This window comes from Homo sapiens, chromosome 9 (genome assembly GCF_000001405.40).
Source record: "Homo sapiens chromosome 9, GRCh38.p14 Primary Assembly".
Taxonomy (NCBI): domain Eukaryota; kingdom Metazoa; phylum Chordata; class Mammalia; order Primates; family Hominidae; genus Homo; species Homo sapiens.
The window spans coordinates 74678547-74693829 of record NC_000009.12 but is presented as its reverse complement, the minus strand read 5'-3'; the positions used below and the strand labels follow the sequence as shown (position 1 = coordinate 74693829).

General features: G+C 39.2%; 1 protein-coding gene across 2 annotated transcripts in view, besides 1 other annotated feature; it reads right to left on the bottom strand.

Annotated features, from left to right (window-relative positions):
* The window catches only part of RORB (RAR related orphan receptor B), a 195843-nt gene continuing 181212 nt past the window's right edge, over positions 653 to 15283 (bottom strand). For both annotated transcript variants that reach the window (NM_006914.4, NM_001365023.1), the window contains exon 10: positions 653 to 8367. In NM_006914.4, coding sequence (NP_008845.2) covers positions 8212 to 8367 — 156 coding nt within the window. In that variant the 3' untranslated portion in view covers positions 653 to 8211. The remainder of the gene's footprint in view (positions 8368 to 15283) is intronic.
* Positions 8043 to 8337: a silencer, noted in NCBI's record as "tiled region #9792; K562 Repressive non-DNase unmatched - State 24:Quies". NCBI's record gives its function as "represses a minimal TATA promoter and a strong SV40 promoter by Sharpr-MPRA in K562 cells {active_cell/tissue: K562}" and the evidence as "EXISTENCE:reporter gene assay evidence [ECO:0000049][PMID:27701403]".

Here is a 15283-nt window from a genome sequence, read left to right as displayed (position 1 = left end):
AACTTCCAAGCACCTGAAAAATTGCTGGCCTCTCTCGGAACTACCTTTTTCAACATCACTGTGAGTCTGTGATTATCCTCAATTGCTTCCTAATCCAGCTCCAAATGAGATTCAGAGCATTCATATGTTGGTGGGCATTGATTTTGGTAGTGGAGCAGCTTGATACAAAACAAAAAAAATCAGACACAGAGACTTAATCATTAATTATCTGAAAGCTTTCATCAGATGTAGGGATTGTCATATCCATTTCAAACCTGCTGCACGTTATTTCAACAAAATGGTTGCAGGGGAGTTGCTTATGGCTCTGTTAGCTGGGGCTTCCTTTTATTAAAGTGCTGAGAAAAAGAGAGCTATTATCTTTGAGAGATGCTGCTCTCATTTTAATTGTAACTTGGTAAGCTATTTGGCTAGAATGGACTCAGTCTTTTCTCAATGAATATTTCTAACTCAGGCCAGGTCCCTGAGGACACAAGAATTTCCTGAAAAAAAAAAAAAAATTAACCATTACTTACTAGAAAAAGGAAAACTCTGTAGGTAAGAACCCATGGGGTAATGTTTTCAAAGCTAAATCTTATCTTTTCTACCCATTCCCTGTTCCCAGGGATGAGAGTGGGGGTTGGGGTGGGGAGGAAAGAAAACCATTAGGCAGTCCTTTTTTCTTTTTCTTCTTTTAATTTTGTTCAGCATTAAAGGAGGAAACTTCATAAACATTGATTGTCATTTACAGAAAACATTCAGAAATCATGTGTGCATTATCCGGGAATGCTAACAGTATTGAACTAATAATTTACAGGACATAAAATAAGGACAAAAACCTATTACATTCTAAAGTAATATAAAACTCTTTTTTAATTGTTAGGGAGTGCTGTTTTATTCTAGTATATTTATGATTAAAAAAACTCAATACTTACTTCCTAAATGACTCAGGCTGCAGTTTTACTCACATACACAGAAATTAGGGCTTATATATTAAACAAGGAGAGAGAGATCAGAAAATTGTAGATTTTAAAACTATATATGTCACTGGGTTTATTTGTGGTTTGCCTTTTTCCTCTACAGGCCAATAAGAATACATGGTAATAATGTAATTAAACTCCAGAAAAATCAATGGTGACTATAAGAGACATTATTCTTTTAAAAAAGTAGAATTATTATTCTTTTTAGAGTGAATATTTTTATTTTACATACTTGTGGCAATGCAACTTTTATGCATTGCCAACAGTGGTGTGCATGCTAATGAGATGCAAACTGTACCCCTCCCATGCTGCCCCCCAGGCGCAGTAGGTTAGTGGGCACAGCCAAGCCCCAGGCAGCCCACGGTTTCACGGGACTTAGAATCACTCTTCACTTTACAAGCGTAGGCTGGAGCTAAGGTAAAAACATTAAATCTCTGAATGTTGGAAGTATATGAAAATCATTTCTCTCAATCCTAAAAGCAAGGAAGCATTGTTAGGGATTTCAAAAATATTGGAATGTCTCATTTAAATCTAAATATCTTTTTATCATTATAAATCGATCATCATAAAATACTAGCCTTTTAAAGTCATATTTGGGATGCAGGAAAAGCATCAGTTTCAACAACTTGCTCCTGCCTGTGTTGCTATAGCTCATGACACCTTGGATTTTCCTCCCTCTCAGTCTCTCCCCAACCCTCCCCTAGGTTCTTTACAACATTTATTTGGTGAAGGTCAGTTATGGCTTCAGCAAATGAGTGGTCTGACCTCAGGTTATTAACAAGAAATAAATGTGTACAAAAATATCTTGTTCATCAGAAAGCGGAGTTTGTTTTCCTTAAGCTATTCCATGCAGAAAGGATTTGGACAAAGCCATTTGCTACAAGGAAAGATGACTTAACTCAGGCAACTTTTTTTTTTAATTTTCCTTTTTCGTATTTTCTAGTTATAGATGGAGTTTGCAGGTCTTAGGCCAATCTTCAATACAAATTCTTTGGAGCAGATTTAATTGACAGCCCTGTCCCTTTCTCAGTCATATTACAAAAAGAAGCATACACTTAACACCAATGACCCGTCAAGATGCTTAAACTGTTACAACCAGTTTCCATTAAAAAACTGAGAAGTACATAACACGCAGAAAGGAAGCAAGTACATATTTGCTCTTTGTTGATTTTCCCCCTCTAAAAAAATTGTTACAAAGTCTTATGCTTAAACAGAGACATAGAAAAATCAGTGTACTCACCGTCTCCAGTTATTTACAGCAAAAATTACAGAGACAGCATACATTGTATTAGACCTTCCACAAGCATATATTAAAAGTAATTACATTTGAAAAAATATTTTTATTTTTCCTCTACATTTCTACAATACATACTCAGTTTTCTGTGGGTGTAATTTTTCTTTCTTGTGTGTGTGTTAATCAGATGAAGCAGACGGTACTGTGCTTGGATGTGGGATTTGTAGCTTTCCAGACATACCTAATGTGTTTCTACGTATGGTTGTGACAGAGGCACGCGAATGCTTGCCACCAACTACTGCCAGAAGAGTATAGTTGAATACAAGGATCATGCTGCCCAGCTGGGGTGCAGATGCCCCGTGCTGCCCTGAACAGGGCTCATTCAATTCCGGTAACCCTTGTGCTTTATTTTTGGCCATGAGAACAATCACTGAGCTGCTTTCTCTGATCCACTGGAGGCCATGCTTACAGTCACGCAGGAGGCAAAGATTACTATGGCCCATTCACATCGGAGGAATTTCAGCAGCTTAGGAAAAAAGTGCACAAACAGACAACCCCCATCTGCTGCATAGGAATCCATGGTCTGCACTTCCAAACAATGGAGGACTACATGATCACGACTATAGAATAAATTCTTCACATACAACTAAGGGAAAATAAAAACTTGTCACAGATATTGAAGTCACACAGTTCAAGAAACACACTGAGACCCAAAAGAATAAAAGTCATGCATTTGCCTTTCAGAAAAAAAGTGGCAAGAAATCCAGCCCCCTGGCTCTATGAAGAAGGGAGTTTGGGCAAGACAAGTTGGAGTGTCTTTTATAAGCCATCACTAAATTGAATAGTTTTCATTTTTAGACTGTTTGCTATTTTTTAAACTGACCTCCTGTTATATCCTCTAGTTGTGACAATCAAATACCAAAACAAAATTGAGTATTAGAAGGGGAAGATCTCCATCCCCTCCTTCCAAAACTAATATCATTCTAATATCGTCCAGGGTTGAATCTGACCAGACTTGCTGCAGTTGAGCTGGCCCCAGATGCGATTTTGCTTTAAACCAGAGGCTGCAAGCTGACGATCTATGGGCCCTCTTCTGCTCAGTGATGTATTTGTTTGGTCTGCACTAAGCTCTGAATCAACTGCCATCATGTATAATTTCAGAGATTTTATAAAATTCAGAAGCTCTAGCAGCATTCAGTTTCAGGTAAATCGTGGATGTCCCTTTTTCCACAGGGCATTTCCTGGCCAGCTTGCCCCTGGGCTGCTTCACCCATTTGCATTAAGCCCCCTGGCCCTTTTAGGCTTTCGAATTTTCAACCCCTGCTTTAAATGGTAAACTACCCTCTACCCTGTACCCTCTGGTCCTGAGACCCAAAAATGAATAGAGTGTCAGCTTTTTTTTGAAAGACCCCCCATAGTTTCCCACATCAGGCCTTTACTCTAGTTGCTGCTTATACTGACAGTTGGAAACAGAACATCAAATAACACTTCGTCTAAAGCAGATGGTAGGCTTTCCTCTCTTCTTTATGCAGGGGACTTTGTGCAGAGTTTCACTACAGATGCACACTTTAAGGTTATTGCTGTTCTATTGAACGGTGCTTCTGTTAGGGCACAGACGTCCATGGCCTGAATTGACTGCAAATTGTAGCAGCTTCCTTGGAAATAAAAGTTTATAGAAAAAAAAAGAGTCAGGAAGAAATTATTTCTTCTAATTTCCAATAGAAATAGAATTTTTCCTTGCTTCTATAATGAACAGAAACAAAGAACATAGAACAACACTGCCATTATTTGCATCTGATTGTTGTTTTTGAAAAAAGCTGGTAAGTTTTAGGTTGTCCTTGGGACCCAAGAATTGTTTTTGCCTTCAAGCCTCGTACACATTGCATTGTAGAGAGTGAGCATGAGTTGATCTTCATGGTTTTCTACAAACAGTTTAGCTTGACTGCTCTGAGATTATGCTTTGAACAAGGCAGCTATGATAGGAAATGTACTGACACCTCCCTGGCACCTCTTGTTAATATTCAGAGTTTATTATGATTTAAGATCTCTTGGAATCTACCAAAGAAATCTAATCACTCAGGAGATCGTTATATTCTCTGATTTTACCTACTCAGAGGTACTTTAGTCCAGAGCCCTGAACACAGTGCTAAAACAAGGGAAATTCAGAAAGGGTATGTTTGTGGAGAACATCTCCACCTTCAGCTTTCAGTCTTTGGGGGATAAAAGAGCCACTGAAGGCAGGGCGCAGTGGCTCAGGCCTGTAATCCTTGCACTTTGGGAGGCCAAGGCGGGTGGATCACTTGAGGTCAGGAGTTCAGGACCAGCCTGGCCAACATGGTGAAACCCCATCTCTACCTAAAATACAAAAATTAGCCGGGTGTGGGGGCGTGTGCCTGTAATCCCAGCTACTCAGGAGGCTGAAGCAGGAGAATCGCTTGAACCCAGGAGGCAGAGATTGCAGCGAGCCAAGATCTCATGCCACTGCACTCCAGCCTGAGCAACATGTTGAACAAGATCTGTCTCAAAACAAAAAAGGAGCCACAGAAAAAGGGGCAAAGAGATTAGTTGAGTCATGGACAGTACGGGCATATACGGGTGTCAAACCAGATTTGGAATCCTTTCCTGTCCTATTTTCCCTCCAAAATTTCCCTTTCTTTTTATGGACCACAAATACACTGAAGTTTGAATTCACCCGGTTTCACCTCCCTTGTCCATTTTATCTAATGCCAGTTAGATTTCTGTATTTTCCTTGTTCAGGATTTGTATAGAAAGTTTGGATTTGCAGGGAGATAAAAATTCCTCTGAATGGGACAGCTAGATTATTTGGCTCTTAGCAGAGTTTAGAAAATGAGACCAAGTTGTCCTTACTTGGGTGCAACTTTTCAGCAAGTCCAAATAAGTCAATCTAGTTTATGACATGAAGTTACTGCTTGTTGGTCTGAAAGCCTTGTCAGAGAGGTGCTCTCAGCAACATATTTAATTTATACCATTCACATTTTGTTGTCATTTTCCTGTTTTTAATTTTTTCCTCCTTCTTGATGTATTTTTTTTTTTTAAGGAAACATCCCTGAGTGGATACAGTGCAACATCTGCATCAAGCAGTGATTGTCATTTATGAAGCACGAAGTGAGAAGCCCAGATTGTGGATTTTTTCTTCCAGTGCACACTTGATCATGATTGTTGTGAACATTTGTTAGTCCTCATGGGGAAGGAACCAAGTTCTGGGATTGTAGGTACAAAATACCTTGACATGCAGTCATAGGAGATCTTCGAAGGGCAGCTTTTTAAGGCTTTTTACCATTGAAAACATGACTGGATTCTCTTTAAAGGGAAGGTTGGGCAACTGTAACCCAAACTAGAAATCTCTTCTCTCAACTAAGTGGGATGAGTATGTCCTGGTTGCCATTGTTTTGCTCTGGTTCAGATGCTAGCTCTGTTTCCTTCCTCCCAGCTTCAAAAGGTCCATGCCGTCCCAGTGAAATGCTTAACGCTAGTGGAAACAACACAAATTCAAAGCAGTACCTCCCAAGGTAAATGTGGGGAACAATCTTTTTCCTATATCACCCATGGGAAAAGGGAGGAAAAAATTCTGAGCCACTTCATCAATTGAGCCAATTTAAATCCTCTAAGGTAAATTGGAGGAAATAAATAATTCCCTCTGCAACTGAGCAGGAATTACAGGCTGACAATGGAAAACACTAGGCCAACAGAACAATGAAAACAAAGTTTGACATAAGTTCAAAGCTCAAAGGGAAACACCAAGTAGACACATGAAGCATCGCCTATCACAAGCCAATCATAAAACATACATTGCATTTGGAAACGGCTTGGTTTAATTGAGTGCCTTCCATTACCCTGTTTTCCTAGCAATCAGTAGAGTAATCTTTCCATTAGAAGGAAATATGACTCTGGGAATTAATTCTTTATACAAAGAGCTAGCAGGAGTGACATTTACACCAAAAAGAATTGAGTCCCTGTAGCAGCATAATAAGCAGTCTACAGCTGTCTTCTTAGAACCAAAGGTAATTTGGTTCAATGTAGTTAAATTAATTGAATATAACAGTAGTTGAGAAACAGATTCATTATTTTAAAGCCTTTTTGTTTTTCCCCATTGGTTTAGAATTCATCAATCATGAGGTGAGAAAATGTTCCGTTTTCTAAAAGGAAAAGATGACACTACTGTTTTGATCATCAATCAAGAGTTCTGTGGTATCTTGGAGATGGTGCTCAACCATGAACTTCAGGAGAGCATAAGAGATTAAAAAAAGAAATCAAAGTTTCCACTGATGGAAACTTTACAAAGCAGGGGTTTGTATGTGTGTGTGTGTAAGTGTGTGTGTGTTTAATATGGAGAAAAGGGCAGTTCTTTAGGAGTTGGTGGCTGGGATATACTTACAGGAGACCATAATTTTCATTGTCTTATACACAAACTTCTCTCTTAGCTTGTTTTCTTTTTTTTAAGTTTTATTTTGTATCAGAAAATAACAGAGGTATAGGCCTCCAGGACACAGGCAGAACAAATTTCTTGGAATATATGCTTTTCTTATGATTAATTTCATTGGTGAGCAGGTGGAGAAGTGAGAATTTGTACAAGGAAGTCTAAAATCTCTGATCCTAATGTCACAGTTGTATTCTTTATTTCTAAAAGTTGCTAAAAAAATAATTCTAGGGTAAATGGATGATGTAACTGTAAACTTCACAGGAATTAGTTTTGGCTTTGGGGTACATTAGTTCCCTAGAATAACACAGATCTTTTTTTTTCTAGTCTGTCAAGTTTTTGCTACATTTTTATATTATAGCATTTTATAATATGCCTCCCCCTTTATTGCCACTTTTCCTAACAAATACATTAAAGAAAGGAATATAAAGAATTACTTCTTCACTCTGGGTCTTCTCTTTCTACCTTTTCTTGCCAAAACATGGTGAGAGAGAAAATGTTTACATGAAATGGCATTGTTGCCCTGGGTTCTGATTTATTCTTTTAACTTTCCTAGAAAAAAATTGCTGGTAGTCATAATCCACAGATTGTATTTTTCAGTTGAAGACACAATAAGCACTGAAATCAAGCTTGTTTCACAACCAGAAATCCAAAAGAAAAAAAGTGTTTTTATGTGTTCTGGTGAAAAATAGAAAATATCTACTGTTTGGTCAAAAAAGTCTTGGACCTTGCAATGTTATCTGTGGCCTAATTCTTGAAACAGGAAAATGGCTTAAAATACTGTCTCCTTCCCAATATGAACCATCTTGACAAGGCTTTGATGTCATTGACAGAAATAGAGTTTGTATATAGAGGCCACACATTATGTTTATTCCTTTGTAGACTTAACTCTGAGTTGGTACCGTCCTGCCATTGACTATAGATGAAAACTCTGGCTGGGAAAACAAAATCCTGATTGTCTAACATAAAGGTAACATATAACACAGAAGGTAAATCATAGAAGAGAGCCTGACTGAACCTCCATTGCTAGTAGGTATGGTATTTAAGCCACAGTGCATGTGCATGTATAAGTAATAGTCATATATAATATTCTCACATATTATATACTTATTACATACATGCACAGTACTTTCCAAGACAGCTACAAATTTACACATGCATCAACTACCTAAAAACATAGAAATAGGTAAGCCTATTAAGTGGAATTTTCTTAAATTATATTTGAACAATCAACAGGAAAAGTAATCATGTAAAGTACCGCTCTTTTCTTGTATATATCTACAATAAAATTCTATAAACAGTTGTCTCCCAAAACATACCCGAATAAAATTAAAAAAAGGATAACACCCAGTGTCCTATATTTGTATATTTATGGTCATTTCAAAAACAAACAAACAAATAAAAGAGCCCCACTCAGGTGCATATTTACATTCTTCAAACTGTAGCGGTGAAAAATAATTCTATTAAGTGCAGGACATTCCTAATGTTGCAGTAGTGACATTTTTCTTAAGTCTTCATGAACACATTGCTTTTGTCTTAATGGTGATGCATTCCATGACTATGAGACAGTTCTCTTGTCCCCTTCATTTGCAGCCGGTGGCACAGTCAGGATTAAAGAGCTCCTTGTATAACGGAGGAAACAGTGTATTCACTATCTCTGGATGAGATTGCTTAAATACCTGCAGCTTCTCCCCGTGCAAGTTGCAAACTGCCGTGATGGTTGGTATCTTGGCTATTAACTGCAGAACGGAGAGACAGAGAGGGAGATAGAGAGGGAAGCTCATTAGTGCTCTGTCTGTGGAACCAGTGTCCTTTCTGGCCCCAGATGAAGGTAAAAGGCTTTGGAAAAAGATGTTCAGAAAGAAAGAAGGCGCACTTTCAGCTTTTCTCTTACAACAAAACAAAATAAAACGTACCCACCCCCGCCCCCCCGGACACCATCTCCTAAAGGAAAAATAAAGCAAGCAGGACCAAGATCCCTGATTCATCGCTCTTAAATAAGTATATATGAGAGGTTTTCTAGTTTAATAGTTACAAGTGGGTGCTCTGTAGTTGGGCTACCTGAGTTCCAAAAGAGCTTAGTAATGGTGTAGCTGTGACTTTGTCTATGTCTCAGTTTTCTCATTCATAAAATGGGCTTACTAACAGTACCTACTTCATTGGGTTGTTGTGTGGACTGAGGGAGGTAATTCCTACAAAAGTGTTAACAACACTGGAGATGTGAAGTGTAATTGTTAGTGAACACTGTTATTACCCATAATTTCCCATAGATTTTTGTGACATGAATATTAGATTTTTAGCTTTGGAAGGTGACAATATTTAGGGATATACAACCAAACTGTATGAGGTGCAATCTATAATGATCTGGACTGCTTGGCTATCAAGCTCACTAACCCACTTGTAGAGTGGCTCTCTAATCCGTTTCCACTGTAATGCATAATATGAAACACATAGAGAATTTGGGAGGTCACTGGCACTTAGCTTCCTTAGGAAGGTGTTCTAAAAATGAGTGGAAGGATATCCACTTACAATTGTTAGGTTTTGATATATGTATCATGTAAGATGTAATTTTTTGAGTTAAGATACCCAGAAGACAGTGTTTTATAATAATTTAAATGCCGTATGGGTCTTAGGAGATGAACAATTCCAGCTTTTAACATACTTATAGTTTAGGCACATTTCGAATCCATCATTTTTGTGTCAAAATTAGCTTAAACAAAAGTCACTGTGATTAAATTATTGTGAGAGATATGTTCTTGTATAGAGGAACACTCTTATAAAAGATAGGCATGATAGCTCATATGGCTGACTAAAGACACACTTGAAATTGATGAAAAATACAGTTAAACAAAACCTATCTCATCACCAGTTAGGCTCATCATGTTCCCTACCCTATTCAATAACAAGAATCCATTTCAGCCTTTGAAATAAAAGAGGAAATAGATAATTAGTTGCCTTGTGGTTTTTCAAAATCAGAAACTTCCACTCTTTCATTAACTTTCCTTTTAACAAGTAATGACTATATAACCATACTACAAGCAATTTAAAATTAGCATCAGGATTAGAGCTGTTGACATATTCAGTAAAGGGATCTAGAACGTGTAAAGAAGTTTAGAGTTCAGACTTTCCAATCTTAACCATCTCCACTGCTATTTAAAGACAGAGATAGAAATGAAAAATGCGGAATCTTTGTCGATAGAATGGATGCTAAATTTTAGACTGAGAATCAAAACTTTACCTCCAACATTATTAATTTTTTTTCATTCTTGATGCACCACAAGGAATTGCATGCCTAGTATGTAGCAGGCACTTGGCTAAACACCAGAATGCACAAAACATTATGACTCTTGTTTGTAGTCTACTTGATGAAACTGATGAAATAAGTTTACCACACAGTCAAAAGCAGACTGAAAAACTGTGGTGAGTGCCAAAGAAGAATAGCGGGAGGAAAAATGGGAGGTAAGAAGATGCCCTGACTTGTGGCAGGCCTGGGATGGCTGTCCTGAGAAAGTGACATTGAAGCTGAGCTCTGATGGAAGAGTGAGAGACCTAATTAGGTGCTGGGGCAGAGGGTACATAACATGCCCTAGGATCATGTGCAAAGATGCTGTAGCGCTTTGCACTCTGGAAGAACTGAAGGCAGTTCAGAGTCGCTGCAGCAGTGGGTGAGGTAATGCCAGAGAGGTGTGCATGGCCAGATTATGTAAGCCCTCATAGTTCACGTTATGTTCTCTGAGAGGGTTTTAAGCAAAAAAGAAAGATGATTCAGAGTCCCATTCTGAAAGACTCACTTTGGGTCCAGGGTGGAAAACTGTGTCTTTTCTATATTTTCATAGGTACAGAGTGTTCAAGTGTCCACTTAACTGGAGTCGCTTGGGAAATTATTCAAACTCTCTTAACCAGCTGGCTCACACAGAAGGAGACTACAACAATTTAGGAACAGTTCTTGCACATTGTAATTCTCCCTGAAATAGCTGTTGAATGCAGAGTGGCTTTGAACGCTTTCTACAATCATCTGCAGTTGAATTGATGATGTGCAGAGCTCTTGAAACTTCCAGATGCAACTCTATAATTATTGTCAATCTTGTCAATAAGAGTGGCTGGGGTGCTTCTTAAAAATGCAGATTACTGGGACCTACTCCTAGAGGATTCAGTTTCAGTGAGTTTGGGTGAAGCTCAGACTCCATGTTTGAAACAAACATTCCCTGCAGACACTGATGCAGTGGGTTCATGGGATCGATTTTGAAAAACACTGCTTCAGAGGTTCAAATTTTATAAATTTACAACTGGTTTTCAGAATTGAAAAGTTGAGCCAGGCACAGTGGCTCAGATCTGTAATCCCAACTACTGTAGAGGCTGAGGCAAGAGGATCGCTTGAAGCCAGGAGTTTGAGACCAGCCTGGCCAACATAGCAAGACTTTGTCTCTTAAGAAAATTCTTAAAAAAGTAAATTATACATTGAATTTGAAACAGTCCTCTGAACTAAGTGTAGAATTAGCTGCTTTTCGGGAGGCAGACATGGAAGTTCTCACATCTAGAGAGGAAAGGTTCCATGTGCTCAGAGCTATTAGTTTGGTGGGGGTCAAGTAATGAAATTCCTGAGTTCCCTGTGACACACAAATACTACATAGAGAGGATTAGTCTATTGATAAAGAACATGGACTTTGGAGTTGGGCTGCTTGGGTTTGAATCCTATTTCTGTCCTTTACAGCTATGTGATCTCGGACAAGTCACTTAACCTCTCAGTTTTCTTTTTCTTTTTTTTTTTATTATACTTTAAGTTTTAGGGTACATGTGCACAACGTGCAGGTTAGTTACATATGTATACATGTGCCATGTTGGTGTGCTGCACCCAGTAACTCATCATTTAACATTAGGTATATCTCCAAATGCTATCCCTCCCCCCTCCCCCCACCCCACAACAGGCCCCGGTGAACACATGGACACAGGAAGGGGAACAACCTCTCAGCATTCTTATCTGTCAGATGACGATTATAACAGTCCCTGCCTCAGAGGGAGGTTGTGAGGATTAAGTGAGGCAACAAAAATTTTTTTACAGTGGTGCTTGACACACAGTGGTGATCTATGTGGTAGCTGTCATGCTTCCACTCCCACAGTCTGAGATATCTCTCTTCCTTTCAGGAGAGAAAGAGTCAAGGCCATGCTTTTCAGTCGAAGGACATGGAAGGCAGGAAGCCAGCTTAGCTCTCAACCAAGCTCCAAAAGTGGAGTCATTAACCAAAAGTTAATGCATGGCAAAGTCAGCCATTGACATTTATTGAAATGAAAAAGCAAAATCATATTGATTTTTCATTTTCTTATAGCAATTCAAGTAAGTTGCTTATTTTACTAACTGTGACTCACAATGTAGAATCATATGTACAACAATTCTTGAAGCATTTTTTTCTGCTCCTTTAGTGACAGGGTGGTGTGTGACATGAAATGTATAAGAGGGTGACTGAAACCATTTTATAGTTGCTCATTTGCCCTGGAAATATTTAATTACGTGTCTGGTTTTGGAATGTTAATATGGACTCTTCCTCTTTTCCTGGGAAAAAAACTGGGATTTAAGAGTCTGGTTCAGGACCCAGTTCTGCCTTCTTTTATGCGATTTGGATCTAGTTCCTGTTGCTCATCTATAGAATGGGCTGGATGGTGAGAATTGCTTTCTGTTAAAGAGCACTCAGATCGCTTCAGCAAACAGCACAGAGAAGGCGAAGAGCTCTCCCAGCGTCCATGCTCTTGGAATAGGCTGACTGCAAGACACCCAGTCGGCTGTGGAAACAGAAGTGCCGATAGGGGCATCCATCACTCTGGAGGCATGGTGGGCCAGGAGGCCATGTGGAGGCGGCAGCAGCACTTGTCAGAGCCCAGAAGGGCCTGGTGTAGAGAGCAGCAGGCAATCACTTATTGCTCATTAATATTATGTACTGCAGCCAGGGGACCCCCATTTCAAAGGGAGCTCAGAGCAGCCTCCACAGCAGTTAATAGCTCAACAACTTTTTAAACAGCTGGGGAAGTGATCCAGAAGCACTTGGAGATGGAGGGGGTAGTCAATTTTAAATCATCGTGAAATTCCTTCATGTTTAAATAATCCCCATAGCAGAAGTAGACAGAGGATCTATCAAAAGGCATTTTCACACTCATTTCTTTCTTATGACAAGCATTTCTTATGAGAAGGGAGCTTTAGCTTATACCTACAGGGGTCTACAAGAAGAAAAAGCAGCTGTTTGAGAAGAGATAATAATCCTATGCTTCTCTCCGGTGGGCGGTTTTATGAGAAAATTCACAATTTTATAACTGGTACATTTGATGTTAGAAAAATGGAACATGCAGAGGGTAAAACTAGTGATCTTGTTCATGTGGGCTTCCAGGCCATCAAGATGCCCTCCAGCCTAAAGCAGGAAGCCAGCAATGGTTTGATCAAATTGGAAGAAGCTTCAGGAGCACGAATGAAAACAGGGCACATAAAGTGAAGCTGAACACATCAATTTCACATGTCCATTTGATTTCCTTTTCTTTTTTTCTTTTTTTGTTTTTGGTTTCTGTTGAGTCAAACCTAGTTGGATTCGAATTATAACATTAAACTTGAGACATCTTTCTGGGTCATAAGCCCTGCCCCCACAATCCTGACCCCATCCTTAGCATCCGTGTGGCAGTGCCTGTACTTTCTACCCTGGGCATGGCTGACCAAAATGGAAGTGGACATTTGACTCAGCTGGGGCTGGAATAGGAAACCAGACTGAGAGTCAGCAAGTTGCTTTTTAATTGTAGCAGAAACTACCAGTAACCTAAGGAGCCAAGAGCTAGCCATATTTCATCATGTGGACCAGGGAAGCACAGAAAACTGGTACTCAGAGAGGGAGAAGAATGAAGTAGATACCTACAGGGACATAAGTGTGTAAGATGAAGAATTCGGAAGGCTTCCCAATTCGTAGTTCCAGTACTTTCCTGATTGATGGCTGCATTTTTAACCTTGAGTTCTATGAGATATTGCTTCATTATTTGTTTTATTTTTATTTTTTATACTTTTGCTTAACCTGGTTGGAGGTGGTTCCTCTTACTTGTAACCAAAGAGTACTTATTTATTTATTTGTTTAGAGACACAGTCTCGCTCTGTTGACAGGCTGAAATGCAGTGGTATGATTTCGGCTCACTGCAACTTCCACCTCCCGGGTTCAAGCAATTCTCCTGCCTCAGCTTCCCGAGTAGCTGGGACTACAGATGCGCACCACCATGCCAAGTTAATTTTTTTGTATTTTTAGTACAGATGGGATTTCACCATGTTGGCCAGTCTGGTCTTGACCTCTTGACCTCATGATCTGATCCGCCTGCCTCGGCCTCCCAAAGTGCTGGGATTACAGGCCAAAGAGTCTTAATGAATACATCAACTTGCAATTTGATGAATGAGGAGTAATATCAAAACCTTTCTTCTAATTTACAGACCATTAATCTGATGGACAACTCTTGGAATTTCTGGATGTTTTACCTATAGTATATGCCAGCAAACCATAAACAGTTAAAATACATTGAAATAATCTAGCTTCTCAGTGGAGTTCCTCAACGAAACCTGCCATGTGTTATTCACAATTGTCTCCTTGCACCTGGCACGTAGTACCTATTCATAATAAATGCAGGTTCAAGCAGAAAACTATCCCAGGAGAGAGCTGTGTTTCTTCAGTCTAGATTTGAAATTTAAAAACTTGGGGGATCTGTTGAACTGTTTTCTATAATTTTGCCTATTCTTGCATTAGTTTAAAGTATATTTACTGTTGGGAGGAAGCCTGAGGGAAGCTTTGGGGATGCCAGTTTTACCTCAGCAGTGGTCACACGGGTATGCTAACTTTGTGATAATTCAGTGAAGTACATACTTATGACTTGGGAACTTTTCCCTATGTATGTTATACTTTTAAAAAGTATAGACATTTTAAAGTATAAATCAAAGTCCTGACCAAATAGAAATGAAAATAGGGAGACTAAGACCACGAGTCACATCATCTGGGTAGTGGCTCCTCAAGTGCTGATTAGTCAGACTGTGCTATTTAAGATGAAAGTGAACCCAAATCTCTAGTCCCACCTGCTAGGAATTCTAATATAACACCCAGTTTTTGTTTGTTTGGTTGGTTTTTTTGTTTTTTTTTTTGTTTGTTTGTTTTTGTTTTTTTTTTTTGAGACAGAGTCTTGTTCTGTCTCCCAGGCTGGAGTTCAGTGGTGTGATCTCAGCTCACTGCCATCTCCGCTTCCTGGGTTCAAGCGATTCTCCTGCCTTAGCCTCCTGAGTAGCTGGGATTACAGGCACTTGCCACCATGCCGGGACAATTTTTGTATTTTTGATAAAGATGGGGTTTCACTGTGTTGGCCAGGCCGGTCTTGAACTGACCTTAGGTAATCCACCCACCTCGGCCTCCCAAATGCTGGGATTACAGGCATGAGCCATAGCGCCTGGCCCATCCCATTATTAATCATAGTGAAGTCTATTTTGATCTCAATAAGAAAGCAATAAAAATAACCATAAATGACCTTTTGTAGTTTCCTTTGATCTCTCAATCAGTGTTTGGTCCATAGACTCCATCTACAAATCAACATGACTGTTTTTCCTAAATCTGAATGATAATGCACTACCAATGTGACCAGAAATGATTTCTTTCAAGTACA